The sequence below is a fragment of the Homo sapiens genome, chromosome 19 (assembly GCF_000001405.40).
Source record: "Homo sapiens chromosome 19, GRCh38.p14 Primary Assembly".
Lineage (NCBI taxonomy): Eukaryota > Metazoa > Chordata > Mammalia > Primates > Hominidae > Homo > Homo sapiens.
Window position 1 is genome coordinate 35,947,067 of NC_000019.10, and position 27,519 is coordinate 35,974,585.

General features: G+C 50.7%; 1 long non-coding RNA gene across 1 annotated transcript, besides 9 other annotated features; it reads left to right on the forward strand.

Annotated features, from left to right (window-relative positions):
• Positions 1–48: 48 nt before the first annotated feature.
• On the forward strand, positions 49–17,004 carry LOC105372383 (uncharacterized). Its single transcript, NR_136525.1, has 5 exons — positions 49–180; positions 10,187–10,298; positions 11,148–11,209; positions 11,933–13,528; positions 16,481–17,004. It is a non-coding gene; the product is annotated as an uncharacterized LOC105372383 (long non-coding RNA).
• Positions 361–655: an enhancer, noted in NCBI's record as "tiled region #3529; HepG2 Activating DNase matched - State 12:CtcfO, and K562 Activating DNase unmatched - State 8:EnhW". NCBI's record gives its function as "activates a minimal TATA promoter and a strong SV40 promoter by Sharpr-MPRA in HepG2 and K562 cells {active_cell/tissue: HepG2 | K562}" and the evidence as "EXISTENCE:reporter gene assay evidence [ECO:0000049][PMID:27701403]".
• Positions 1,381–1,675: an enhancer, noted in NCBI's record as "tiled region #1826; HepG2 Activating non-DNase unmatched - State 23:Low, and K562 Activating non-DNase unmatched - State 20:ReprD". NCBI's record gives its function as "activates a minimal TATA promoter and a strong SV40 promoter by Sharpr-MPRA in HepG2 and K562 cells {active_cell/tissue: HepG2 | K562}" and the evidence as "EXISTENCE:reporter gene assay evidence [ECO:0000049][PMID:27701403]".
• Positions 11,994–12,043: a silencer, noted in NCBI's record as "silent region_10543". NCBI's record gives its function as "represses an Ori minimal core promoter by ATAC-STARR-seq in GM12878 lymphoblastoid cells {active_cell/tissue: GM12878}" and the evidence as "EXISTENCE:reporter gene assay evidence [ECO:0000049][PMID:35858748]".
• Positions 12,054–12,103: a silencer, noted in NCBI's record as "silent region_10544". NCBI's record gives its function as "represses an Ori minimal core promoter by ATAC-STARR-seq in GM12878 lymphoblastoid cells {active_cell/tissue: GM12878}" and the evidence as "EXISTENCE:reporter gene assay evidence [ECO:0000049][PMID:35858748]".
• Positions 12,264–12,313: an enhancer, noted in NCBI's record as "active region_14510". NCBI's record gives its function as "activates an Ori minimal core promoter by ATAC-STARR-seq in GM12878 lymphoblastoid cells {active_cell/tissue: GM12878}" and the evidence as "EXISTENCE:reporter gene assay evidence [ECO:0000049][PMID:35858748]".
• Positions 15,241–15,405: a silencer, noted in NCBI's record as "fragment chr19:36453209-36453373 (GRCh37/hg19 assembly coordinates)". NCBI's record gives its function as "represses an EF-1alpha promoter that drives an FKBP-Casp9 reporter gene in an ReSE screen in K562 erythroleukemia cells {active_cell/tissue: K562}" and the evidence as "EXISTENCE:reporter gene assay evidence [ECO:0000049][PMID:32094911]".
• Positions 16,538–16,838: a silencer, noted in NCBI's record as "silencer 1 fragment used in repoter construct". NCBI's record gives its function as "represses an SCP1 promoter by reporter assays in K562 erythroleukemia cells {active_cell/tissue: K562}" and the evidence as "EXISTENCE:reporter gene assay evidence [ECO:0000049][PMID:32103011]".
• Positions 16,588–16,788: a silencer, noted in NCBI's record as "peak3453 fragment used in MPRA reporter construct". NCBI's record gives its function as "represses an SCP1 promoter by STARR-seq MPRAs in K562 erythroleukemia cells {active_cell/tissue: K562}" and the evidence as "EXISTENCE:reporter gene assay evidence [ECO:0000049][PMID:32103011]".
• Positions 26,488–26,688: a silencer, noted in NCBI's record as "peak3454 fragment used in MPRA reporter construct". NCBI's record gives its function as "represses an SCP1 promoter by STARR-seq MPRAs in K562 erythroleukemia cells {active_cell/tissue: K562}" and the evidence as "EXISTENCE:reporter gene assay evidence [ECO:0000049][PMID:32103011]".

A 27,519-nucleotide genomic window follows, 5' to 3' on the forward strand; every position in this document is an offset into this window, starting at 1 on the left:
ATATCCTAGATTCTGCCACAGCTTTTCTGGGGGGTCTAGGCCTTGAACATGTTATGCCATGAGTCATGGGACCAGCCTGAGTCCTGGGGGACCTCGTCTGACCACACCCTACTCCCCAAGTCCCCAGCAGTATCATGAGATCCTTCTTGTTGTTTGTTAGCCTTGGACAGCTGAAGTCAGGTGACGTCATCAAGAAGAGTGAGGGCATGAGTCCTGGGGAAAGGGGCCTAGGAGCAGGGGCATAGTGTTTCGAGACTGTGGTCCCAGCTACTCGAGAGGCTAAGGTGGGAGGATTGCTTGAGCCCAGGAGTTCGAGGCTGCAGTGAGCTAGGATTGCGCCACTGCACTGAGCCCAGGAGTTCGAGGCTGCAGTGAGCTAGGATTGCGCCACTGCACTCCAGCCTGGGCCACAGAACGACACCCTGTCTCCAAAAAAACAGAAAAGGAGCCTAGGAAGTGAGGATGCTGGGGGCCTAGTGCTGGCTACAATTACCAGTTGCTCCCATGAGGGGGAGCCAGAGGGCACTGTTCGTGTGTGTGTGTGTGTGTGTGTGTGTGTGTGTGTGTGTGTGTCGAAGTCTCTTGTCGCCTAGGCTGGAGTGCAATGGCGCGATCTCCGCTCACTGCAACCCCCGCCTCCTGGGTTGAAGCGATTCTCCTGCCTCAGCCTCTTGAGTAGCTGGGATTACAGGCGCCTGCCACCACGCCCGACTAATTTTTTTATTTCTCCACGTTGGCCAGGATGGTCTTGATCTCCTGACCTCGTGATCTGCCCGTCTCAGCCTCCCAAAGTGCTGGGATTACAGGCGTGAGCCACCGCGTCCGGCCCTAAACCCACATTTTTAAATGTGAGCAATCCTTGCTGTGTGCAGTGTGCTGGGGATTCATTGCGGAACAAATACAGCACAGGTGCTGCCTTCGCGGCGCTCACTATTTGGTGGGGACACAAATGTTTTCTGAGTTTTGTTTTTTTTTTTTTTTTAGACACAGTCTCAATGTCACCCAGGCTGTAGTGCAGTGGTGCAATCATGGCTCACTGCAGCCTCCACCTCCCAGCCTCAAGTGATCCTCCCACCTCAGCCTCCCAAGTAGCTGGGATTACAGGCATGTGCCACCACACCCAGCTAATTTTTGTATTTTTGTAGAGATGGGGGTCTCACTGTGTTCCCATACTGGTCTTGAGCTCCTGACCTCAAGTGGTCCTCCCACCTTGGCCTCCCACAGTGCTGGGATTACAGATCTGACCGTAGATGTTATATAATCACACCAGCAAGTGTAAGCATCTGCAGTGACCAAGGGGCGCCATGCAGGAGACACATACAGAAGTGCGCGACCCTGTAACCAGGGGCCCTGACCCAACAAGAGAGATTGAGGAAGGCTTCCTGGAGGAGGGGAGGCCTGGCGGAGACCTGAAGGATGCGCAGGTTGGAGTTAACCATGAAAGGGGTGGGAAGGGTATTCCGTGCAAATGGAAGAGCCTGTGCTGAGGGAAGCATGAGTGAAAGAGCTGAGGCCAGGGGGCTGAAGTAGGGGAGGGAAGGGAAGAGAGTGACCTTGGGTTGAGGCTGGAAAGCAGGAAGGGAGCCGATGACGCAGGACCCCGTAGGCTGCTGGGAGGAGTGTGGATTGTCCTCTAAGTGGCATGAGAAGCCATTGAAGGGTTTTTTGGTTTTTTTTTTTTTTGAGACGGAGTCTCGCTGTCGCCCAGGCTAGAGTGCAGTGGCACAATCTTGGCTCACTGCAACCTCCGCTACCCGGGTTCAAGTGATTCTTCTGCCTCAGCTTCCCGAGTAGCTGAGATTACAGGTGCCCTGCCACGACGCCCAGCTAATTTTTGTATTTTTAGTAGAGACTTCTTCACCATGTTGGCCAGGCTGGTCTCGAACTCCTGACCTCATGATCTACCTGCCTCGGCCTCTTAAAGTGTTGGGATTACAGGCGGCATGAGCCACCCCGCCTGGCCCATTGAAGGGTTTTGAGGTCTAATGAGAGTAGCAGTCCCTGATCTCAAGGAAGCTCTGTGGGGAGGAGGATACTGCAATAGTCCAAGCAGAAGGGTGATCCGGACCAAGTTGGGGCCTGAAGTGGTTGAAGAGAGATTTGAGACGACCTTACTAGAGGCCTCTGCCCCCCACCCAGCAGACAGTGTGCCCTACTGTACAGCTACCCAGTTCTGCAGCAAGATTGCAGAGATGGGAAGAAGAGTTGTAAGACACTGGGCTCTGATATCCACAGCTCCACCCCTTAGATGGGGGAGGGACTTCTGTGTAGCATGGGAATGACGGACCTTTTCCAGGCTCAAGTAGCAGGCAGACAGTGGATGGAGGCTGAGAGGCAGTGGGTGGTCAGGGGGAATGTGGACACAGGAAATGCAGGGCTGGAAGGGGGACACACACTTGGTAGTAGCTTATTACAAATATGGAAGCAGGAAGGATGGGAGGAGGGCAGACTGGTCCCTCTAGCATGGGTCCCCCATGTTCCCCCACAGCATGCCTGGACCACCCCCACCCGCCTGCAGAAACACACAATCACATGTGTCTAGGATTTAAAGTTAAAATTTTGCTTGTCAGCTAGGCACAGTGGCTCATGCCTGTAATCCCAGTGCTTTGAGAGGCCACCCTCAGGGAGGATTGCTTGAGCCCAGGAGTTCAAGACCAGCCTGTTTTCAACTCCGTGGACCCTGTGAGGCACACTTCACTCTCCCCAGCCCTCTGGATAAAACAGTAGTTCCTTAGGAACTTTAACTTCCCCCAAAATGCTGTGGCCTCCCAGGCAACATAGCCATACCCCATCTCTACAAATAATAATAATAATTAGCTTGTCCAACTGCCTAGCTAAGTCCATCAATTTCCTGAGCTCAGGGAGTACAACTACTTCTACTGTCAATTCCTCATCAATTCCTCATCTGCTTTTGGCCCCACACATTTTTTAGACCAAAGCTCCGGCTGCTGGAGCATTATCTTGAAGTGACTGTAGACCCAATACCAGGATTCTGCCCTGTCTGTGTACTGCCAGATCCAACCCATGTGTCTTGGGGTGGCTAAATCTGACAAAGGCCCTGAGTGTCTGGGGACACCTGTGATCTCCTGCAAGGCTGAGGCTAATGCCACGCTTTTGCAGCTCTTTGCATGGGCACATATGTGAGAGAATCAGATAAAAGGTGTTCCCAAAAAGGATGTTTGTGTTCAGGGTGGAACCTGACGCCTGCCTCCTGCCTTTGGGTCCTCCCTGATGGCTGTGCCCTCTCATACCTCGCAAAAGCAAAGATAGGTATCAGTGCTGCCTGTCGTCCTGACCTGTGCGGAGTGACGTTGGGAACATTGTGGTGACCAACACAGCCCTAGCCCTTGCCCTCAGAGTTCCAGTTCAAGGCTGGGAGCAGTGGCTCATGCCTGTAATCCCAACACTTTGGGAGGCCGAGGCAGGTGGGTCACTTGAGGTCAGGAGTTCGCAACCAGCCTGGCCGACATGGTGAAACCCCAACTCTACTAAAAATACAAAAATTATCCGGGTGTGATGGCAGGCACCTATAATCCCAGCTACCTGGGAGGCTGAGGCAGGAGAATCACTTGAACCCGGGAGGCAGAGGTTGCAGTGAGCCAAGATTGGGCCACTGTAGTCTAGCCTGGGCAACAGAGCGAGACTCCGTCCCAAAACAAACCAACAAAAAAGAGTTCTATTTCCAGTGGAGGAAATAGATAATCACAAAACAATGGCATCCCAGAGTGGTCGGGGATGGGGAAAGAACAGGCAAGAATGATCAGGGCTTTTGCAGAAGCCCAGGGGACTCCCAGAGCCAGAGGGTTCTACACTTGATCTTAGCCAAAAGGCCAAGAAGCAATCTGAAGTTTCTAACTGGGCCTGGGATGGGAGGTGGGGAGACAGTCCAAGATTTCCTGAGGCAGGGCCAGCTTTATGGCAGTGTGACTGTGGGGTTGCACCATGCCCCAAACTTAGAAGTACCCTATGCTTGCTTTAATGCCCTAGTGTCACTATCTTGAAATTAATAATTTTTGAACAAGGGCCCCACATTTTGATTTTGCACTGCGCCCTGCAAATTATGTAGCCAGTCCTGCCCGGAGGAGCGAACACTTGAGGGATTTACAGAGAGAGCCGAGGCAGAGAGGGTCTTCCCAGGAGAGAGAGCATTGGGTACAAAAGCCAAGAGAGGGCCAGGCGCAGTGGCTCATGCCTGTAATCCCAGCACTTTGGGAGGCTGAAGCGGGCGAATCACCTGAGGTCAGGAGTTCAAAACCAGCCTGGCAAACATGGCGAAAACCCGTCTCTACTAAAAATACAAAGAATTACCTGGACGTGGTGTCAGGAACCTGTAATCCCAGCTACTTGGGAGGCTGAGGCAGGAGAATCGCTTGAACTTGGAAGGCAGAGGTTGCAGTGAGCCCAGATCCTGCCACCGCACACTAGCCTGGGTGACAGAGTGAGATTCCGTCTCAAAAAAAAAAAAAAAGAAAAAAGAGAGGACTGCACACTCAAAGAATGAGCCAGAGTTCAGTGTGGCTGGCGCACCATGGGAGAAGGGCGCACTGTGGGGCCATGGAGGGTGGAGGGTGATAAGGTGGAGGGACAGGGTCAGGTTTGCACTTTAGAAAAATCCATCTGGCAGCTGGGCGCAGTAACTCACACCTGTAATCCCAGCACTTTGGGAGGCCAAGACGGGCGGATCACCTGAGGTCGGGAGTTCGAGACCAGCCTGACCAACATGGAGAAACCCTGTCTCTACTAAAAACACAAAATTAGCTGGGCGTGGTGGCACATACCTGTAATCCCAGCTACTCGGGAGGCTGAGGCAGGAGAATCGCTTGAACCCAGGAGGCGGAGGTTGCGGTGAGCCAAGATTGCACCATTGCACTCCAACCTGGGCAACAAGAATGAAACTCCATCTCAAAAAAAAAAAAAAAAAGAAAGAAAGAAAGATCCATCTAGCTACCATGGGGAGGGTGGATGGGGGCACAAGGCCAGGGAGAAGATGGGGGACTCAGCTGCCTGTGGAAGGAGCTGGGAGTGTGGGTGATTCTGAGGAGGAGAGGCCAGCATGGGCACGTTTACCAGAACCTTGGGTAATAGACATCCCAGTGCAGGAGACGAGCTGGGAGACCCCAAAACCACGGGATGAACCCAGAGCCTCATTTTCACTTGCAAATGTTTACCGTGGGTGGCGGGGGATGCAGAAGGGTAGGTTACAGAATGTCACTCACTGGTAAGTACTTGAAAATCTTTTTATATGAAAACTCGCATGGATAGACTGATGGAGGTGAATGCAAAATTGGCAAGAATTTCGAGTATAAAATGTGAGATTTCAAAGGACTTTCTTCTGGATATGTTCTGGCTTCAACTCCATAGACCCCCGGGGTGCACTTCACTCTCCCCAGCCCTCTGGGTAAAACAGCAGTTCCTTGGGAACTTCCTCTTCAGCTTCCCCTAAATGCTGTGGCCTCGGGGAGCTGGGAATGAGCCCCTTCCTGCCTCTGTACTCACATTCAGGGACATCGACCCCTAACACCTGTTTTTCTTCTCTGTTGGCAACCTTCATATTTCTTTTCTTTTCTTTCTTTTTTTTTTTTTTTTTTTTTGAGATGAAGTCTTGCTGTGTTGTCCAGGCTGGATTGCAATGGCGAGATCTCGGCTCACCACAACCTCCGCCTCCCTGGTTCAAGTGATTCTCATGCCTCAGCCTCCCGAGTAGGTGGGACTGCAGACGTGTGCCACCAAGCCTGGCTAATTTTTGTATTTTTAGTAGAGACGGGGTTTCACCATGCTGGCCAGGCTGGTCTCAAACTCCTGACCTTGTGATCCTCCCGCCTCAGCCTCCCAAAGTGTTGCAATTACAGGCCTGAGCCACCTCACCAGGCTACAACCTCCATATTTCCATCCTCAACCCCAGCATCTCTCCTAAGTCCAGACCTGGCTTACCTCAGTTTCCCGGACCCCTCTTCCTGGACATCCCCTGGGGCCCCTCACACCCACTGGATCCCACACCCACCTCGGCTTCTTCTCGGACCTATGCCTCCTTCTAGGTCCTGTCTGGGAGAGCAACCCCCATGCAGCCTCCTGAATGTCCCCCACCTCCCCTTCCTCCCTGCCCCGGCCCCATCCTGGGCTAGTTCTGGCCTCACCCATCTGGGTCCTTGCACTGGGCTCCTGGCCTCAGTCTCTTCTCTGGTCCAGGATCTTCCTAAAGCCAAACCCTCCTCTGTATAGGCACCCCCATGGCTCCCCAGGGTTCCTGGGACAGTCTGAGCTCCTCAGCCTCTAGCATCCCAGCCCTTCCCACGCCATCCCTCTTCCCCAGCTCTGTTTCTAGCACATATGTTTGTTCCCCACCTCAGGCAGGAAGGAAACACTAACCACATCCTCTGCTTGTGATGAAGGAGGATCTTAAGCAAGTGACAGATGAAGCTATTGAAGGAAAGTGGGTTCCAGCTGGGCGTGGTGGCTCATGCCTGTAATCCCTGCACTTTGGGAGGCCGAGTTGGATAGATCACTTGAGGCCAGGAGTTCGAGACCAGCCTGGCCAACATGGTGAAACCCTGTCTCTACTAAAAATACAAAAATTACTTGGGCGTGGTGGCACGTGCCTGTGGTTCCAGCTACCCCGGAGGCTGAGGCAGGAGAATCGCTTGAACCCAGGAGGCGGAGGTTGTAGTGAGCCGAGATCGCCCCATTGCACTCCAGCCTGGGCAACAGAGTGAGACTCTGTCTCAAGAGAAAAAAAAAGAAAGAACATGGGTTCCTTCTTGAATGCTCCCCTTATTCCTCCCACCAAAGGTAACGTTCTGGGGGAGAAGGAGGCCTGGGTGCAGCTACTAGCATCTGGGGGAGAGGCAGTTGGTAACTGTACCCAGGGTCCCTTGCTTCTCCATTTCTGGAGATCCATCCTTGCCCTCCTCTCCGAGATCCTCCTAGAAGGCTGTAGCTCCATTGTTCTCAGCTTCTGGGAAGCCGAGAGGACGTTCTGGGAAGAAGAAAGTGATGTATAGGCCATTGTTTTCTCACGGGAACCTCTGTCCCCAAATCCTCCAGACCTCCACATCCAGGCACCTGGTGCCCTCTCCTGCCTCTGTCTCTGGTCACTTCCACAATCCAGGAGCCCAGGCGTCTAGCTTCCTCCTTCCTCAGGAGTTCAGGTCTGCAGTCCCCTCCTTCCTCAGGCACAGAAGCCCCATCTCCACTCCCCTCCATCCTCAGAACACAGGCTCCCGGCCCCCTTCCTAGGATCCTCAAGTTCAAATGAGACTGAAAACTTCTCTCTCGGCCAGGCGTGGTGGCTCACGCCTGTAATCCCAGCACTTTGGGAGGCCGAGGCGGGCAGATCGCGAGGTCAGGAGATCAAGACCATCCTGGCTAACACGGTGAAACCCTGTCTCTACTAAAAATACAAAAAAATTAGCCGGGCCTGGTGACGGGCGCCTGTAGTCCCAGCTACTCCGGAGGCTGAGGCAGGAGAATGGCCTGAACCCGGGAGGCGGAGCTTGCAGTGCGCGGAGATTGCACTACTGCACTCCAGCCTGGGCCACAGAGCGAGACTCCGTCTCAAAAAATAAAAATAAAAAAAACTTCTCTCTCAGCAGGCTCAGGAGTCCTCCCCCTCCCCGCACTGGCCCTGCCACCTCTTTTCTAATTTATCTATTTATTTTTTATTTTTTTTGAGGCAGAGTCTCGCTATGTCACCCAGGCTGGAGTGCAGTGGCACAATCTCAGCTCACTGCAACCTCTGCCAGGTTCAAGCAATTCTCCTGCCTCAGCCTTCCAAGTAGCTGGGACTACAGGCACCCGCTACCACGCCAGGCTAATTTTTTTGTATTTTTAGTAGAGATGGGGTTTCACCGTCTTAGCCAGGATAGTCTCGATCTCCTGATCTCGTGATCCACCCGCCTCGGCCTCCCAAAGTGCTAGGATTACAGGCGTGAGCACCGCGCCTGGCCTTACTTTTTTATTTTTAGAGACTGGGCCTCACTCTGTCACCCAGGCCAGAGTCCAGTGGCACCATCTCAGTTCAGTGCAGCCTTGATCTCCCTGGGTCAAGCAATCCTCCCACCTCAGCCTCCCAAGTAGCTGGGACCACAGGTGTGTGCCACCACACCCGGCTGTGCCCCTCTTGTCTTAGGATGGTCTTCAGGTCTCAGCTTCTCCACCTTGCCCCTTCAATCCCTTATTCTGTCTGAGAAACTTACATCCCTCACTCTCTCCAAATACAACCACTTCCTCAATATTCAAAGGGCTTCTTCCGATGCTGGGCACGGTGGCTCACGCCTGTAATCACAGCACTTTGGGAGGCTGAGGAGGAGGGTGGATCACCTGAAGTCAGGAGTTCGAGACTAGCCTGGCCAACATGTGAAACCCCGTCTCTACTAAAAATACAAAAATTAGCTGAGCATGGTGGCACCTGCCTGTAGTCTCAGCTACTTGGAAAGCTGAGGCAGGAGAATTGCTTGAACCCAGGAGGCGGAGGTTGCAGTCAGCCAGGATTATGCCACTGCACTCCAGCCTGGGCAACAGAGCGAGATTCCATCTCAAAAAAAAAAGGTCCTGGCGTGGTGGCTCACACCTATATTCCTAGCACTTTGGGAGGCCGAGGTGGGCAGATCACCTGAGGTCAGGAGTTCGAGACCAGCCTGACCAATATGGAGAAACCCCATCTCTACTAAAAATACAAAATTAGCCAGGCATCGTGATGCATGCCTGTAATTCCAGCTACTCGGGAGGCTGAGGCAGGAGAATCGTTTGAACCCGGGAGGCAGAGGTTGGGGTGAGCCGAGATTGCACCATTGCACACTCCAGCCTGGTCAACAAGAGCGAAACTCCGTCTAAAAAAAAAAAAAAAAAAAAAAAGGCTTTCCTGGAATAAATTACTTTCTTGTCTGTCTTTGGTCTTTTTTTTTTTTCAGCTTTATTGAGATACAATTCAATGGATTTGAGTATATTCAGAGTCATGCAACCTAACACCACAAGCTAACTGCAGGATATTTTCATCACCCTGAAAAGAAACCCTACACCCATTAACAGTTAATCCATTCCACCTACAGCCAGCCTAGGCAACCACTAATCTTTCTGCCTATTCTGGACACTTCATATGAATGGAATCATCACGTGATCTTTTGTGACTGGCTTCTTTCACTTAACGTTTTCAAGGTTTATCCATGTTTAGCATATATCAGTATATCAGTCCTTCTTTCTTTTCACTGCCAAATAATGTTTATGGGCCTAGGGGTAGAATTGCTAAATCACGCGGCAGCTGTGTTTCATTAGTTTGAGGAACTGACAGTCTGTTTCCTGAAGTGGCTGCACCATTTTACATTCCCACCAACAATGTATGAGGGTTCCAATTTCTGCACATCTTCACCAACACTTGTTATTATTTCTCTTTTTAATTACAGCCATTCTAGTGAATGTGAAGTGATATCTCATAGTTTTTTGTTTGCTTGTTTGTTGTTGTTGTTGTTGTTTGGAGACAGAGTCTCACTCTGTCATCCAGGCTGGAGTGCAGTAGGCACAATCACAGCTCACTGCAACCTCCACTTCCTGGGTTCAAGTGATTCTCCTGCCTCAGCCTCCCGAGTAGCTGAGGCTACAGGCATGCACCACCACACCTGGTTAATTTTTGCATTTTTAGTAGAGATGAGGTTTCACCATGTTGGCCAGGCTGGTCTCTAACTCCTGATCTCAAATGATCCACCTACCTTGGCCTCCTAAAGTACTGGGATTACAAACGCGAGCCATTGTGCCCGGCCTCATAGTAGTTTTGATTTACACTTCCCTAATGATTGTGTCCAGCAGCTTTTCATGTGCGAACTGGCCATTTGTTAGTGGGTTTTGCTTCTTTTAAAAACTGCTGAGCCATCCATAAACATTTTCAAAATGCAGGGTATGTTTTTCAGTGTTAAGGCAACTGTTTTGATGTGTTTTCCTTTGCTCTCTATCACCAAATACTGTACATACAAATAGTAAGACTGGGCTTTGTGTTGTCCATTGTTAATCCTAAATGCAACAAAACACATGGAGACTTTGAAAATCCTTCAGAATAATGCTATAGTTAAGATTTTGCTAAAGCAAGTGTTTTTTCTAACTCCTTGAGCTGCATATTGCCTTGAGTAATCATCATCCGAATTGTATCCTCTTCGGTGGCACTTTTGTTTCTTTTGAATTCTTCCCTTGCCCAATCCTTCAGGTATTTGCGATCAGAATCATTTGGAACTTGCTGAATTGTTTGGAAAATCCTTCTGTAGAGGAGAAGAACTTGTTGCCTTCTGATGAACTGCTTTAACATTAGTGTTGCTGGGGTAAGCGGGAAGTGGCCATGTCTGCCAGCAGTCCGCCGGAGCCTCAGCTGGTCTTTTTCCTTCTCTCTTTCTCCATTCCTTACCCTATCTGTCCCTCTCCCCTCGTCCATCTCTTCATCTCACCATAACCCTTTTTTTTTTTTTTGAAACGGAGTTTTGCTCAGGCTGGAGTGCAAAATCTCAGCTCACTGCAACCTCCACCTCCCCGGTTCAAGCAATTCTCCTGCCTCACTCTCCAGAGTAGCTGGAGTAGCTGGGATTACAGGTGCACGCCACCACGCCTGGCTAATTTTTGTGTCCTTAGTAGAGATGGGGTTTTACCATGTTGGCCAGGCTAGTCTCAAACTCCTGACCTCAGATGATCCACTTGCCTCGGCCTTCCTAAATGCTGGGATTACAGGCGTGAGCCACTGTGCCTGGCCTTCACCGTAACTTTTGTGTATCTTTCCCTCTCCCACATTTACTCTCTATGCCGATCTCTGTCCCCACCTCCCCATAGCTGTCTTTCCTTTCTCTGTCCCCTCCTTTCTCCACCCAGCACCCCCATACTTAGGCCTCTGTATGATCAGTGGCACCAGGTCAGGCTGGAGCCAGTACTAATGGGTACATTTGTGTGTAGACCCAGGGTGGGTGCTGAGGGCCAGGCCCAGGCACCTAGGACTATAAATGCCCCTGCAATGTGGTTGGCCTCAGCCCTGCTCTGGCAGGTGACCCCCGGGCCCTGGGCTCTGAGGCTGAGCCCTTCTCTGAGGTCTCCCTTGTGCCCCGTACTGCCCCTGCAGTGGGAGGCCTGGAGGGAAGGCTGGCAGGAGGAACCACACTAACCAGTCTATCTCCCTCTACCCCCAGCTGTGCCTCGGTGCCTTGGGTTTCCTACAGGGTGAGTGCCCCAGAAGGAACACAGAAAGCTGGTGAGTTGGTCTGGATTTGCAGCAGAGTGTGGGGTAGGGAGGGGCTGGTTGTGCTGGCTCAGGTTGGGAGGCTGTCTGGCATGGCTCTGTGACAGGGGATTGGCCACAGTGGAACTTCTTGGGACAGGGCCCTGGCCAGCTGGACAAGGGGCTATTTGGGCAGACTGTGTGCCAGGAGATTGGCAAAACTGGTTCTGAGGAGGCTGGGCGGGCCTTTTGGGGACAGATGGTGCAAAAGAAGCAAGTTTAAGCTAATATTGATATAGCTGACTTCATGCCATGGCTTTGACATCAAGCTCCCCATCATTCTGTGAAGTGTGCACCGATACCCCCTTTACAGACACAGCAGCTTAAGCCCCAAGAAAGGAGGTGACTTGCCCAAGTTCACTTGGCTAGAAAGTGGCCGAGTCGGCTGGGCAAGGTGGCTCACGCCTGTAAGTAATCCCAGCACTTTGGGAGGCCAAGGTGGGAGGATCGCGTGAGCCTGGGAGACCAGCTTGGGCAACAGATTGAGTCTCCTCTCTAAAACAGAAAAAGAAAAGGAAGGAAGGGAGGGAGAGAGGGAGGGAGAGAAGGAGGGAGGGAGAGAGGGAGAGAAAGTGGCAGAGTCAGAATTAGAATCTGACGCATTTAGCTTCCAAATCCACCGGATTATTCTTGACTGCCTCCTCTGGGCTCCTGGTTCCCTCAAGCCCGACGGACGTCTGTGTTTTATGTTTCCAGGGCTGCCGCTTCATCACGGCTTTCTCGGAAAACGGGGGCGCTGAGAAGCCCAACTTCCAGCTATATATGTCGCCACCGCCCACAGGGCCCCCGACGGCGATGCTGGTGACAGCGCTCCCTGCGTGGGCGCCACTCTCCCCGTGCTCCCCGCGCCTGCAGCCAGGCACGACGGTGTGGGTGTGCCCGCCCGGGGCAGAGGAGCTGCAGGGCTCGCGGCAGGCGGCGCTGTGCAAGCAGCGACGTCGCGGCCCGAGGAAGTGGAGGCGGTGAACGCGCGTGGGCGCGCCTCCCGGGACACGGCGCTGGCTCTGCGGCGCTACCTGCTGGGCACTCCCTAATCGATGGTGACGCCGTCGCTGCCGCCCGGCGACCGGCACAAGGAGTTTGCGGTGGTGGCGGGCGCTGGGCCCACGCTCTTGAGGCGCCTCAAGCCCCCTAAGCCTGTTCTGCTGGACCGCGTAGGCCACCCTGCCCGCTGGCCCCATCCATTGAGCCTTGAAGGCTTCCAGAGGCGCTGCAGTTGCAGAGAGCAGGAGACCTATCCGGCACCCGCGTCGTGGCCGCCCATCCTGTCGCGCTGCTGGCTGGCCTCAGTTGTCTGCAAGCGAGAAGCAAGGCCTGTGGCCACGCGTTTGGACGACCGCCGCCCCAGGGTCGCTGGAGTGGTCTCCACACGGTGCCCCACTTTGCCCCAGAGCGTCCCGGGCGCCGAGACTGCGTGTTCCTGGAGGCTAGTGGCCCGGGTAGCCTGTGCTCCTGGTGCTGCGACGCCGACCGGGCGTGCGTGGGCTCTGCGCCCTGGCACGGTGCTGCGCTCTGTGGTGGACCAGTGCACTCTCTGGCTTTGCGCTCTTCGGCTGGCGTGCAGGTGTTTTTCCCCCCGAGGCCGCCGCGGCCCGCGGGGGTTGACACCTACGATCCCTCCTTCGCGCTTATGCCCTGGTGGGCGCGTTCAGCTGCAGCTTCGCAAGCATGGTGCAGCCAAACTTTTCCAACGTGGAATTTGCACCTGCCCCGGTGCTCCCGGACTGCCTGCTGGGCCCGAGCCGCGTCATGAGCAGCATTCTGACCAAAGGCTGGTCCCGGCTCAGGGCTTCGCCTGGACTGAGGTGGCCTAGGGGCGCAGGTGCAGGGCAGTGCAAGACCTGTAGAGAGGCGGGGCGCCCATGGGCATGTTTAGCTTCGGCATCGCCCAAGGCGCAGGCTTCGGGACCCAGGCCGTAGGGCAGCCGGCGGCAGATGAGCAGCCCTGAGGGCCCAAGGGTTTGGGGAGGTGAACCGGCAATGGGATTCGTGGATATTAGGATTGGAGAAAATCATAACACTACATTCCATTGCTTATATAACAAGAGAGGTAGTTTTTTTTGTTTTTGTTTTTGTTTTTGTTTGGTGGTTTTTTTTTGTTGTTGTTGTTTGTTTTGGTTTGGTTTTGCTTTGCACCCCACCCGACCCTCAATTTTTGTATTTTTACTAGAGACTGGGTATCAGCATGTTGGCCAGGCTGGTCTTGAGCTCCTGACCTTAGGTGATCCACCCGCCTCGGCTTCCCAAAGAGCTGGGATTACAGGCCTGAGCCACTGCGCCCGGCCCAGAGAGGTAGTTTTAAAATACAAGTCTGTCCCTCCTCCACTCAAAATCTCCTTGGCAATTATCCCATCTCCCAGCAAAAGCAGTCCTTACAGTGGTTTAAGAGTTCCTACATGATGTGTTCCCAGCACACTGCTCATCTCATCTCTCTCCCTTGCCTCACTGTACTCCAGCCACACTGGTTGCCTTACTTTCTTCTTCCTACCCCAGGGCCTTTGCACTGGCTGTCCCCATGATATCCCTGTGGATCACTCTCTCCCCTCCTTCAAGCCTTTGCTCAAATGTCACCTCTCCACTGAGGCCAACCTGACTGCCCAATTTAAAATTGCAATCCCCAGGCCAGACATGGTGGTTCACGCCTGTAATTCCCACCACTTTGGGATGCCGAGGTGGGTGAATCACTTGACAAGGTCAGGTGTTCAAGACCAGCCTGGTCAACATGGAGAAACCTCATCTCTACCAAAAAATATAAAAATTAGCCAGGCGTGGTGGCACGTGCCTGTAATCCCAGCTACTCGGGAGGCTGAGGCAGAAGAATCACTTGAACCCGGGAGGCAGAGGTTGCAGTGAGCAGAGATGGTGCCACTGCATTCCAGCCTAGGCGACAGAATGAGACTCCGTCTCAAAAATAAAATAAAATTGTAATCCCCCACCCCCAACATTACCTAGCCCTTTCCCAGAATTTTTTCACAGAATATATCACTTTCTGTATAATTACTTTTTCTATTATCTGTCTACAACACATACATTCCTTAAGGGCAATGATTTTTTTTAACCGTTTAATAACCTTTAAAAAAAAAAAAGAAAACTGAGGCAGAGTCTCCCTACGTTGCCCAGGCTGATTTTGAACTCCTGGGCTCAAGGGATCCTCCTGCCTCAGCCCCACCAAAATGCTGGAATTTCAGGTGTGAGCCACCGTGTTTGGCCTGTTGTCAAGTTTTTGTTTGTTTGTTTGTTGTTATTTTGTGATGGAGTTTTGCTCTTGTTGCTCAGGCTGGAGTGCAATGGCATAATCTCGGTTCACTGCAACCTACGCCTCCCAGGTCCAAGCAATTCTCCTGCCTCAGCCCCCCAAGTAGCTGGGGTTACAGGCATGTGTCAACATGCCTGGCTAATTTTTTGTATTTAGTAGAGATGGGGCTTCACCATGTTAGTCAGGCTAGTCTCGAACTCCTAACCTCAGGTGATCCACCTGCCTCAGCCTCCCAAAGTGCTGGGATTACAGGCGTGAGCCACTGTGCCCGGTCTGGCATGTTGTAAGTTTTAAGATACACAGTTAACTGAACAATTTAAAGTTTCCAACCTGAATGAATTTTCACATATGTTCATCTGTGTAGCCCTCACTTAAATGAAGCTATTAGAACACTTCTATCACCCCACATAGCTTCATGAGGTCAGATTCTTACAAAAAGATTTTGTGCACTATTAAATCTCCAGCACCTGTGACAGTGCCCAGCTCTCAGCAAACATTTGTGGAAGGAATAGTAATGGTTGTAATTTGTTAAATGTGCACCACATCATATGCCAGGCACTGGGCTCATAGAGGCAATTATTGCCCAAGGTCATACCTTTTTATTACAGTGTAAAATGTGAACAGTGGGGTGGGAGAAGGGATAAAATAATAATAGCTAGTACTGAGTGCATAACTCTGTGCATTATTTCTTTTTACCTTCCCGCTTGTCTTTGAGGTTGACTATCTAATAATATTGTGGGTTTTTTTGTTCTTTTTTTTTTTTTTTTTTTTTTTTTTTTCTGAGAAGGAGTCTCCCTCTGTCGCCCAGGCTGGAGTGCAGTGGCACTATCTCGGCTCACTGCAACCTCAGCCTCCCAGGTTCAAGCGATTCTCCCGCCTCAGCCTCCCGAGTAGCTGGGATTACAGGTGCATGCCACTACGCCCGGCTAATTTTTTTAGTTTTAGTATAAACAGGGTTTTGCCATGTTAACCAGGCTGGTCTCGAACTCCTGACCTCAGGTGATCCACCCACCTTGGCCTCCCAAAGTGCTGGAATTACAAGCATGAGCCACTGCGCCTGGCCTGTTTTTTGTTTTTGTTTTTTCTTTTCTTTTTTAAGATAGAGTCTCACTTTCTTACCTAGGCTGGAGTGCAGTGGCATGATCTAGGCTTACTGCAACCTCCGTCTCCCAGGTTCAAGCGATTCTTGTGCCTCAGCCTCCTGAGTAGCTGGGATTACAGATGCGCAGCACCACCACGCCTGGCTAATATTTTTGTTTGTTTTTTTTTTTTTTTTTTTTAGTAGAGACAGGGTTTCACCACGTTGGCCAGGCTGGTCTCGAACTTCTGACCTCAGATGATCTGTCCACCTCAGCCTCCCAAAGTGCTGGGATTATAGGTGTGAGCCACTGTGCCCGGCCAATTTATTTTGTTTTGTTTGAGACAGGGTCCTTTTCTTTCACCCAGGCTGCTGTGCAGTGGCGCAACCGTGGTTCACTACAGCCTTGACCTCTGGGCTCAAATGATCCTCTAGCCTCAGCCTCCCAAGTACCTGGGACTACAGGCGTGCACCACCATGCCTAGCTAATTTTTATTTTTTGTACAGACAGGGTCTTGCTATATTGCCCAGGCTGGCCTCAAATTCCTGGGATCAAGCAATTCACCTGCCTCAGCCTCCCAGACTGTTGGGATTACAAGTGAAAACCACCACCCTCAGCCTATAATAATATTGTAACGATTGCTTTTCCCTGGGGAGAGGGGCCGAGACCAGAGCTCAAGTCTCTTGCCAAGCTCACACAGCTAGAAAGTGGCAGTGTCTGGATTTGAACCCAGGTCTGTCTGTGTCCACAGTGCAAGCTTTTAACCACCTTTTTGGTTGTGGGGGGTGTTGTTTTGTTTTGTGTTTTGTACCACCTTGCAAAGACTTATAAAGTAGTCTAGACTTATGTGCTAAGTGGCAAGTGCTTTTATAAATAATGTACATACATTATATAATGTTCTCTTTACAGTCATCCTGGAGATGGGTCTTTTTGTTATCCTCATTTCATAGAGAAGACAGTTGAAGGTTTAAGCCATGAAATCACTGCCCAAGGCCACATGCTGAACAGATGTCAGCTTTGAACCCCAAGCCTGCTTGGGCTGCTGGGAAACAGGCATGTTGTCTCAGAGGGCACCGCGCTCGGCGAAGACTCAGCGAGACTGGACGCTGACCATGGTTCTGAACACACTGTGCTGCGGGACCTGGGCTTTTCCTGTAACCCTGAAATCCCATTCAACCTCTTACGGTCCTGAGAAACAACGGAAGACCAGGGAGATGAGAGAAAAGTGAGGGAATGCTGAGAGAGAGAGGCTGGGTTTCTTAGAAATGAAGACAAGGACTTCAATTCATTTATTTATAACAGCTCAGAGCTGGACTCTGGAGCCAAGAGTCCTGGATGCAAATCCTGCTCCAAGCTGTGTGATTCTGCATAAGTCAATTCATTTCTCTGACTATCTACTTCCCCTCTATTAAAGGTGGATAATAGTATGAACATCATAAGGTTGTTGTGGCATTTTAAATTAAATTATTTATTATTCCTATTATTATTTAATAGAAATAGAGATGGGGTCTTGCTATGTTGCCAGGCTGGTCTCAAACTCCTGGGCTTAAGCAATCCACCCACCTTGACCTACCAACACACTTGGATTACAGGCATGAGCCACTGCACCTGGCTCTAATTTTTTATGTTTATTTATTTATTATTATTATTATTTTTGATATGGAGTCTCACTCTGTCGCCCAGGCTGTAGTGCAGTGGCGCAACCTCGGCTCACTGCAACCTCCGCCTCCCAGGTTCAAGCAATCTTTCCACTTCAGCTTCTCTAGTAGCTGGAACTACAGGTGCCTGCCATCACTCCTGGCTAATTTTTGTATTCTCAGTAGGGATGGGGTTTCATCATATTGGCCAGGCTGGTCTTGAACGCCTGACCTCAAGTAACCCACCTGCCTCAGCCTCCCAAAGTGCTGGGATCACAGGCATGAGCAACCGCGCCTGGCCTTATTTTTATTCATTTATTTATTTATTTATTTATTTATTTATTTATTTATTTTGAGATGGAGTTTCATTCTTGTTGCCCAGGCTGGAGTGCAATGGCAAGATCTTGGCTCACTACACCTCCACCTCCCAGGTTCAAGTGATTCTCCTGCCTCAACCTCCCAAGTAGCTGGGACTACAGGCACAGGCCAGCACACCCACCTAATTTTTGTATTTTTAGTAGAAATGGGGTTTCCACATGTTAGCCAGGATGGTCTTGAACTCCTGACCTCAGGTGATCTGCCCATCTCGGCCTTCTAGAGTGCTGGGATTATAGGCATGAGCCACCACACCCAGCCTTTTTTTTTTAATTAAAAAAAAAAAGTAGAGATGGGGCCTCACCATCTTGCCCAGGCTGGTCTTGAACTCCTGGGCTTGAGTGATCCTCCTGTCTTGACCTCAGAAAGTGCTGGGAGTACAGGCGTGAGCCACTGCACCCTGCCAGCGTTTTTTAAATGACTTCATAGAACACTGTCTGGCATGCAGTAAATATTTGCCAGTATTACTTTGCAGCAATTTTTTTTTCATTTTCTTCAGGCTAGGCCTGTTCTAGGCACTGCAGATGCAACAGTGAACAACACAGACAACATCCCTGCCCTCAGGGAGCTGACACTCTAGCTCAGTCCATACGAAAACTCTATATTCCATCTTTTTTTTTCTATATTCCATTGTGATAGAAAATATGCAAAGTTCTACAGAACACAAGATTATTCTTAAAAGTTCACTTTGGGGTCAGGTGTGGCGGCTCATGCCTGTAATCCCAGCACTTTCGGAGGCCGAGGTGGGCAGATCACCGGAGGTCAGAGTTCGAGACCAACCTGAGCAACATGGCAAAACCTCATTTCTACTAAAAATACAAAAATCAGCCAGATGTGGTGGTGCATGTCTGTAATCCCAGCTACTTAGGAGGCTGAGGCATGAGAATCTCTTGAACCCGGGAGGTGGAGTCTGCAGTGAGCTGAGATCACACCACTGCACTCCAGCCTGGGTGACAGAGTGAGACTCTGTCTCAAAAAAAAAAAAAAAGTTCACTTTGTAGGTGGCTAGCTTCGTGCACTGATAGCAATGAATAAATAACATCCCTTCCTGGGAAGAAGGAAGGAATATATGTCTCCAGTTCCCCACAGCATACACACATGCGCACGCACACACGCGCACACACACACACACACACTCTCACATCCTACCCTCAAGTCTGCTTAATGTGGCAAGTTGAAGTCCTCGATGGCCAGAATCAATGCACCATACATTTGCACTGGCATAGAGATGCTCACATAATTGAATCTGGCTGTCTTCAGATGCAGCCTGTGCTCTCGAGCTCCCTACAGACCTATTCTACACCCAGGCCGTGCTGATCATTTTGTCCCTCAGTCCCACTCTTTTCTTTCTGCTGATACATACAGACCCAGTTTATTTTAAATTGGGAACACTGATAGCTTCTGAATGTTGAGTTTCCAGTGCCAGGGACCCTGGAGGCCCGGGGTATGAAGGCAGGTCGGGGATGAGGCTAAATTCCAGGATCCAATTATATTGCATCCTTCCCTCATCTCATCTCTAAATATTTTGACTGAGGAGGAAGTGAGCCCTTTCATAGAGTCCCATCCCCTCCTAGTCTTCCCTGGTGATGCCACTCCAGTTCCAGGTCTCCTGTGAGGGCCATACATGCTCTGATGGGACCACATGTCAGCTTGTGAAGCACAGACTTAAGTGTGTGGCTGGGCACAGTGGCTCACACTTGTAATCCCAGCACTTTGGAAGGCAGAGATGGGTGGATCACTTAAGCTCAGGAGTTGGAGACCACCATGGGCAAAATGGCAAAACCCTGACTCTACAAGAAATACAAAAATTAGCCAGGTGGCATGCACCTGTAGTCCCAGCTACTTAGGAGGCTGAGGTGGGAAGATGGCTTGAGTCCAGGAGGTGGAGGTTGCAGTGAGCTGAGATCGCACCACTGCACCTCAGCCTGGGCAACAGAGCCAGACCCTGCCTCAAAATAAAAAAGAAAAAGAAAAAAGAAAAAAACAAAAAACAAAAAAGTAATTTAAAATCTAAATAAATAAATAAATGAAAAAGGCCTAAATGTGTGCCCACCACTCAGGTCACATGTGAGTCTGAGACCTTGTCCAGTTCCAAGATGGCAGGACTCCAAAACACCGTCCATCTTCAGCTCTAAGACCATGGCAGTGGCTGCATCAGGACCAAACAACACACCTGAAGCTGAGCCAAGGCTTGTGCCTGTGCTCCTGGGGGGACCTGAGCCTGAACCTGTGGCCATGGCTCATCTGGGGCTTGCACAAGTGACCGTAAATGAACCCTGCCCTGAACCTGTAGCTGCAGCCGCACCAGTGCCTCGACTTGTGACTGTGAAAGAACCACTTCCTGCAACTCTGGCTGTAGCTGAACCAGCACCTATACCACCTACCAAACCCATAGCTAACCATTGTCTACAACCATGTCCAAAACCAAGACAGTATCTGTGTCTGGGTCAGAACTGTCTCATGGCCAAGCTGGGGCTCAAGGTGGTGACAGTGACTAAACCAAGCTTAAAGACTCTGGCTGTGGCAAAATTAGGACTTGACTGTAGCAAAGGACAAGGGGCCATCACAGGGGCTACCACCTGAGCCTCTGGGCTACCATACATCTAGACTTTTTTTCTTTCTTTCTTTCTTTTTTTTTTTTTTTTGAGAAGGAGTTTTGCTCTTGTTGCCCAGGCTGGAGTGCAATGGCACGATCTCGGCTCATTGCAACCTCTACCTCCCGGGTAGAGGTTCAAGCTTGAAGGTTCTACCTTCAAGCGATTCTCCTGCCTCAGCCTCCTGAGTAGCTGGGATTACAGGCATGTGCCATTACACCAGGCTAATTTTGTATTTTTAGTAGAGATGGGGTTTCTCCATGTTGGACAGGCTGGTCTTGAACTCCCAACCTCAGGTGATCCGCCCACCTCAGCCTTCCAAAATGCTGGGATTACAGGCATGAGCCACCGCACCCGGCCTGATTTCTTTTTTTTTTTAAAGACAGGGTCGGGCCTGGCGCAGTGGCTCATGTCTGTAATCCCAGCACTTTGGGAGGCCGAGATGGGCGGATCACAAGGTTAGCAGTTTGAGACCAGCTGGCCAATAATGGTGAAACCCCGTTTCTACTAAAAATACAAAAAAATTAGCCAGGCATGGTGGCGGGTCCCTGTAATCCCAGCTACTTGGGAGGCTGAGGCAAGAGAATTGCTTGAATTCGGGAGGTGGAGGTTGCAGTGAGCCGAGATTGCACCACTGCACTTCCAGCCTGGACGACAGAGCAAGACTCCATCTAAAAAAAAAAAAAAAAAAAAAAAAAGACAGGGTCTTGCCGTCACCCACACTGGAGTTCAATGTCACAGTCTCAGCTCCCTGTAGCCTCTGTCTCCCAAGCTCAAGCAATTCGCTTGCCTCAACCTCCCGAGTACCTGGGATTACAGGTGTGCACCACCACGCCTGGCTAATTTCTGTATTTTTAGAGACGGGGTGTCACCATGTTGGCCAGGCTGGTCCAAACTCCTGGCCTCAAGCGATCTGCTCACCTCAGCCTCCTAAAGTGCCGGGATCACAGACGTGAGCCGTCGTGCCTGGCCAGTATACATCTAGATTTTCAATGACCACTTGTTCCCCATGCCTGGGATCTGCACCTACATGCTGAGCTGATGCCCCTAGTCCCTCCTCAGCAGCCTCCCTGCCTCCTAACTGTGGGTCTCCTGTCCTGAAGGGAGGCAGCCCATGTGCTTTGTCACAGGGTGCATCTTTGGTATTACCATCACTGCTGTCAAGCACAAGTGTGGCCCTATCCAGATAAGAATCACAGTGTATGGGATCTTGGGAGACCCCATCCTTCTCTGTTCATCAATTTTGGGAGCTTTTTTTCTTTTTCGAGACAGGGTCTTGTTTAGTCACCCAGGCTGGAGTGCAATGGTGCCATCATAGCTCACTGTAGCCTCAATCTCCTGGGCTCAAGTGATCCTCCCACCTCAGCCTCCCAAGTAGCTAGGACCACAGGCACACACTACCATGCCTGGCTCTTTAAATTGTTTTGAAGAGACAGGGTCTCGCTATATTGTCCAGGCTGGTCTCAAACTCCTGGCCTCAAGCAATCTTCTGTCCTCGGCCTCCCAAAGCACTAGAATCACAGGCATGTGAGCCACCATGCCTGGCAGGTCATTTTTGTCACCTCTAAAATAGAAGCAATGATATAGGCTGGGGCGGTGGCTCACATCTGTAATCCTAGCGCTTTGGGAGGCTGAGGCAGGCGGATCACCTGAGGTCAGGAGTTCGAGACCAGCCTGGCCAACATGGTGAAACCCCGTCTCTACTAAAAATACAAAAATTAGCTGGGCCTGGTGGCGCTCACCTGTAGTTTCAGCTACTAGGGAGGCTGAGGTGGGAGGATCACTTGAACCCAAGAGGCAGAGGTTGCAGTGAGCAGAGTGTGCCAGTGCACTCCAGCCTGAGTGACAGAGCAAGACTGTCTCAAAGAAAAAAAAAATTGTTTACCGGGCATAGTGGCTCATGCCCATAATCCCAGCACTTTGGGAGGCCAAGGTGGGCGGATCACCTAAGGTCAGGAGTTCGAGACCAGCCTGGCCAACATGGTGAAATCCCATCCCTACTAAAAACACAAAAATTAGCTGGGCATGGTGGCGGGTGCCTGTAATCCCAGCTACTGGGGATGCTAAAGAAGGAGAATCACTTGAACCTGGGAGGCAGAAGTTGTAGTGAGCTGAGATCACGCCACCGAACTCCAGCCTGGGGGACACAGTGAGAGTCTGTCTCAAAAAAAAAAAAAAAAAAAAAAAAAAAAAAAAAAAGATGCAATTATACAGGTCCAAAGTCCCTTATCTAAAATGTCTGGGGCCAGGTGCATTTCAGATTTTGGAATTTAGAATGGTCAAACCAGGCAAATGCCACATATTATATAACACTCCCAGTGTGTGTTACATAATCACAAACATTAATATCTTTGCAGTGAAATGTCTGAATAGTCACACAAAGGAGGATAAATTAAGACTATAGCAGCCACACATGAGTTCAGGTTAGCTTTTGCTGATAATTGAGTTTTAACATCAAACACACAAAACATATTCAGTCTTCAGGTCTTTTGGTTGTTGTTGTTGTTGTTTGCTTTTGTAGATGGTAGATAAGGGATTGTGGCTCTCTAGCTCCTCCCTCAGCAGGTTCCTGTGAGGTGAGAATGAGTTAACACAGGAAAAGCACTTGGAACAGAGTCCAACTCATGGTAAGTGTCATATGAGGGGGTGTTTGCTGTGTTTATCATTTCCTGACACAGGCATATGAAGCTTCCAAATTCCCCGAGCTGTGAACATATCCTAGGACCACATGCAGCCACTAGCATGTCCCAAATCTCTCCTCCAGGAAGGTTTAGGGGCTCTGCTCTGGTTAGAAGGTTGTGGGGGCTAGAGTATGTTTAATCCGGGTTGCTGGCTGGGGGGACCTGATGAAGGTTATGATGTACTAGTGTACCCAGACCAAACCGAGGGTTGGGCTGCTTATTCTCACAGCCTAATAATGAGACACAAATAAACTGGGAAAGAAGAGAATTTTTATTTCTGTAACTGATTACAGGGAGAAGGCCTGGAAATTATCCCCAGATCAACTCAAAATTATAACGTTTTCCAGAGCTTATATACATTCTAGGCTATATTAGAAGAAATTAATCACTTATGTCTTTAGATGAATGCAAACTTACATGAGTAAATTTACTTCATCTAAATGGGTCCAGGTGCTGGGGTGATTACCCTTATCTTGTCTCCTGCTAAATTATGGAGGCTTGGGGAGTTCCTTTAGTCTCCAATAAAGCTTGTTTGTGAAGGTCTGGGGAGTTCCTTCAGACCCCCAATAAAGCTTGTATAATCTTAAATGGGAACTGTTAAGAATTCCTTCGTGAGGCTGGGCATGGTGGCTCATGCCTGTAATACCAGCACTTTGGGAGGCTGAGGCGGGAGGATCACCTGAGGTCGGGAGTTCGAGACCAGCCTGACCAACACAGAGAAATCCCATCTCTACTAAAAATACAAAATTAGCTGGGCATGGTGGCGCATGCCTGTAATCCCAGCTACTCGGGAAGCTGAGGCAAGAGAATTGCTTGAACCTGGGAGGTGGAGGTTGTGGTGAGCTGAGATCGCGCCATTGCACTCCAGCCTGGGCAACAAGAGTGAAACTCTGTCTCAAAAAAACAAAAAATAAAGGAATTCCTTCATGATCTTGTCATGCCTCAAGGGCCAGGAAAGGCCTGGCCTAAACTCTTGGTGAGCTTTTGTTACATTCCAGCCTTTGTATGGACGCTGGCTCTACCAGCGTTTTTTGTTTTGTTTCTTTTTTCTTTTTTGAGACGGAGTCTCACTCTCTTGTCCAGGCTGGAGCACAGTGGCGCCATCTCAACTCACTGCAACCTCCTCCTCCCAGATTCAACTCTCCCAGGTAGCTGGGATTACAGGTGTGCACCACCATGCCCAGCTAATTTTTTTTGTATTTTTAGTAGAGACGGGGCTTTACTATATTGGCCAGGCTGGTCTCGAACTCCCGACCTCAGATGATCCTCCTGCCTCAGCCTCCCAAAGTGCTGGGCTTACAGGCGTGAGCCACCGCTCCTGGCCTCTATCAGCTTTTAGTATTTAACCCAACCACAGTCAGTGCTAAAACAGTTGTTATGGAGGCCTGCGTTCATGAGATGTGGCTTGCCACACTAGGCCACCCCTCAGCACCACTATAGAAAAACAATGGTGGCCTGGGTTCAAATTCCGGTTTGGCACTTGATATCTATGTGACCTTGGATAAATTATTTAACCTCTCTGGGCCTCAATTTCTTCATATGTGAAATGAGAATGATGAAAAGATCTGATTCATAGGGCTGTAGTGAGGATTAAATGAGCTAATATATGGAAAGCACAGAAAATATGCAAAGCTAGGACCCGAGACGTGAAGCCATGATGCTGCATACCTGCCTCCACACCGCCTGGGAGTTTGCCCTGCCACTCAGGGGTCAGGATGCCCCCCAGTGCTCTTAAGGCTCCCCAGCATCCAGTAGCCCCCACCCCAGGTATCCAGAACCTTCAGATACTCAGGGCTCCAGACTTATACTCTCACCAACATGATCCCTCTTTTCCCAAGGACTTGACACTCCTGTGTTCCTTCCTCAATTAATTGGAATTTTAGAATTTTTTTTTTTTTTTTGAGACTGAGTCTCACTCTGTTGCCCAGGCTGGAGTGCAGTGGTGAGATCTTGGCTCACTGCAACCTCTGCCTCCCAGGTTCAAGCAATTGTCCTGCCTCAGCCTCCCAAGTAGCCTGGGACTACAGGCACATGCCACCACACTCGGATAATTTTTGTGTTTTTAGTAGACACGGGGTTTCACTATGTTGGCCAGGCTGGTCTGGAACTCTTGACCTCAGGTGATCCACCTGCCTCAGCCTCCCAAAGTGCTGGGATTACAGGCGTGAGCCACTGCGCCCTGCCAAGATTTGGGCAGGGACAAATAGCCAAACTATATCAGACACTAACAACATCCCTGTGGCTGCCAGTTGAGAACAGATTACAGGGCTTGTGAAGGAATGAGGCCTGGAGGAACAACAGTGAGGAGGCTGCTGCAGTAGTCCCGGCAGGAGACAATGGGGCTTGGACCAGGGTGGGGCAGTGAACGCAGGAGAAATGTGGGCTGGAAACCACCAAGTGAGGCAAAATAAGGAAATCATGGACTGGGAGAAAGGAGGTACCCCTTGATCTGGAAGGACAGGTGGAGGCTCTTGGTAATGGGGGAAGCCCTTGGGTCCTGTCTGAAGGCTCTCCTGTTTACTGGATGAGGTGGGCACACCTGGCTCCTTGGTAGGATTACTCATCTAGATTCCTGAGAAGAGGACTTGCAAGTATTGTGTTAGGACAAATCTGGATATTGAAATCAAGACTCCCAGTTTAAAAAAAAAAAAAAAGAAGGCCGGGCACAGTGGCTCACGCCTGTAATCCCAACACTTTGGGAGGCCAAGGCGGGCGGATCACGAGGTCAGGAGTTCAAAACCAGCCTGACCAACATGGTGAAACCCTGTCTCTACTAAAACTACAAAAATTAGCTTGGCATGGTAGTGCACGCCTGTAATCCCAGCTACTCAGGAGGCTGAGAGAGCAGAATTGCTTGAACCTGGGAGGTGGAGGTTGCAGTGAGCCAAGATCTCGCCACTGCATTCCAGCCTGGGAGACAGAGCGAGACTCTGTCTCAAAAAAAAAAAAAAAAAAAAAAAAGATTCCCGGATAGAGGCTGGGCATGGTGGCTCACATCTACAATCCCAGCACTTTAGGAGGCCAAGGTGGGCAGACTGCTTGAGCTCAGGAGTTCCAGACCAGCCTGGGCAACATGACGAAACCTCGTCTCTACTTAAACACACACACACACACACACACACACACACACACACACACACACACACACACACAGAAAGATTCTTGGTTAGCTGGGCACGGTGGCTCACACCTGTAATCACAGCACTTTGGGAGGCCAAGGTGGGCGGATCACAAGGTCAGGAGATCGAGACCATCCTGGCTAGCACAGTGAAACCCTGTCTCTACTAAAAATACAAAAAATTACGGGGCGTGGTGGCAGGCGCCTGTAGTCCCAGCTACTGGGGAGGCTGAGACAGGAGAATGGCGTGAACCCAGGAGACGGAGCTTGCAGTGAGCCGAGACTGTGCCACTGCACTCCAACCTGGGCGGCAGGGTGAGACTCTGTCTCGAAAAAAAAAAAAAGAAGAAGAAGAAGAAAAAGAAAGATTCTTGGTTAGTAGACGAGGGTGGGGCATCCTAGATCTGCAAAGGCCCCACTCTCAATATCCCAGAATCCAACCCCCTCAACCTCCTTATCCTCCACCCCTCCCCGATGCTCAGGAATTCAGCCCCTCTGAAGACCCCAGCTCTTGGTCACTCCTGCAGGGGAACCCACAGCAGCTGGGGCTGTCAGTTATCCTGGGCGACAGATGGCTATGGTTGTACTTCCACACCTCAGAACCATGGGCAGAGGCAGGTCTGGAGCAAGAACCGCCCACACTGCATCTCTTTTACAACCGGCAGCACACACGTCACTGCACGTGGCTGAAGGTTGCCACTCACACAAGGCAGACTGTGCAGTGACTTCATTCAGGCAGGACCATGACATGGGCAGTCCAGATCCACTGGTCTTCGTGCATTTGGGCCCCGCAGCCACCTGATACCCTGAGCCAAGCCTTAGTCCCCACAGGAGACTGGGGGCCCTGTGCTGTCCCTGTAGCCCCAAAGGGGCCCCTTAGCCACTGCCACCAAGTGTGACACCTACACCCTTCGAGGCCAGTGCCGTGCCTGGATATGCCCCTTCCCCAGCTCCCTGCCTACGCTTTGGGAGTGCTTCCATGTCTGTGTACACCCTGTCAGGCCTCAGTGTCAACACTGAGCCCTCGAGCTTCTGGGCTGGCTGCCGTGAGTGACCCTTCAAGGGAAAGGGTTATAGGCTGCTGGGTAAAGGGGATTCTGGGACTTAGGAATGACACTCCTTAGTTCTGGAGGCTGATTCCTGGGGCAAGGGTGTAGGGTCCCTGGAAGGGGACAGCCTCTGGGTCCTGGGGGCAAGACTGCTGAGTTGGGGGGTGCGGGGAAAATAATTCTAGGGCCCAGAGACAGGGCTCTTTGGGTCTGGGGCCAGGGCTTCTGGGTCCTGGGCATGGGAACAACTTGGCTATAGGGCTGGGACTGCTGGGTTCTCAAGTTCTAGAGACTAGAACACCTAGGTGGTGACAACTCCAGTATCTGGGGTGAGCGCTCTGAGTCCCAGAGCCAGACTTATTTATTTATTTAGACAGGATGTCACTCTGTTGTTTATTTAGACAGGGTATCACTCTGTTGCCAAGGCTGGAGTGCAGTGGTACTATCATAGCTCACTGCAGCCTCAACCTCCCAGGCTCAAGCCATCCTCCCTC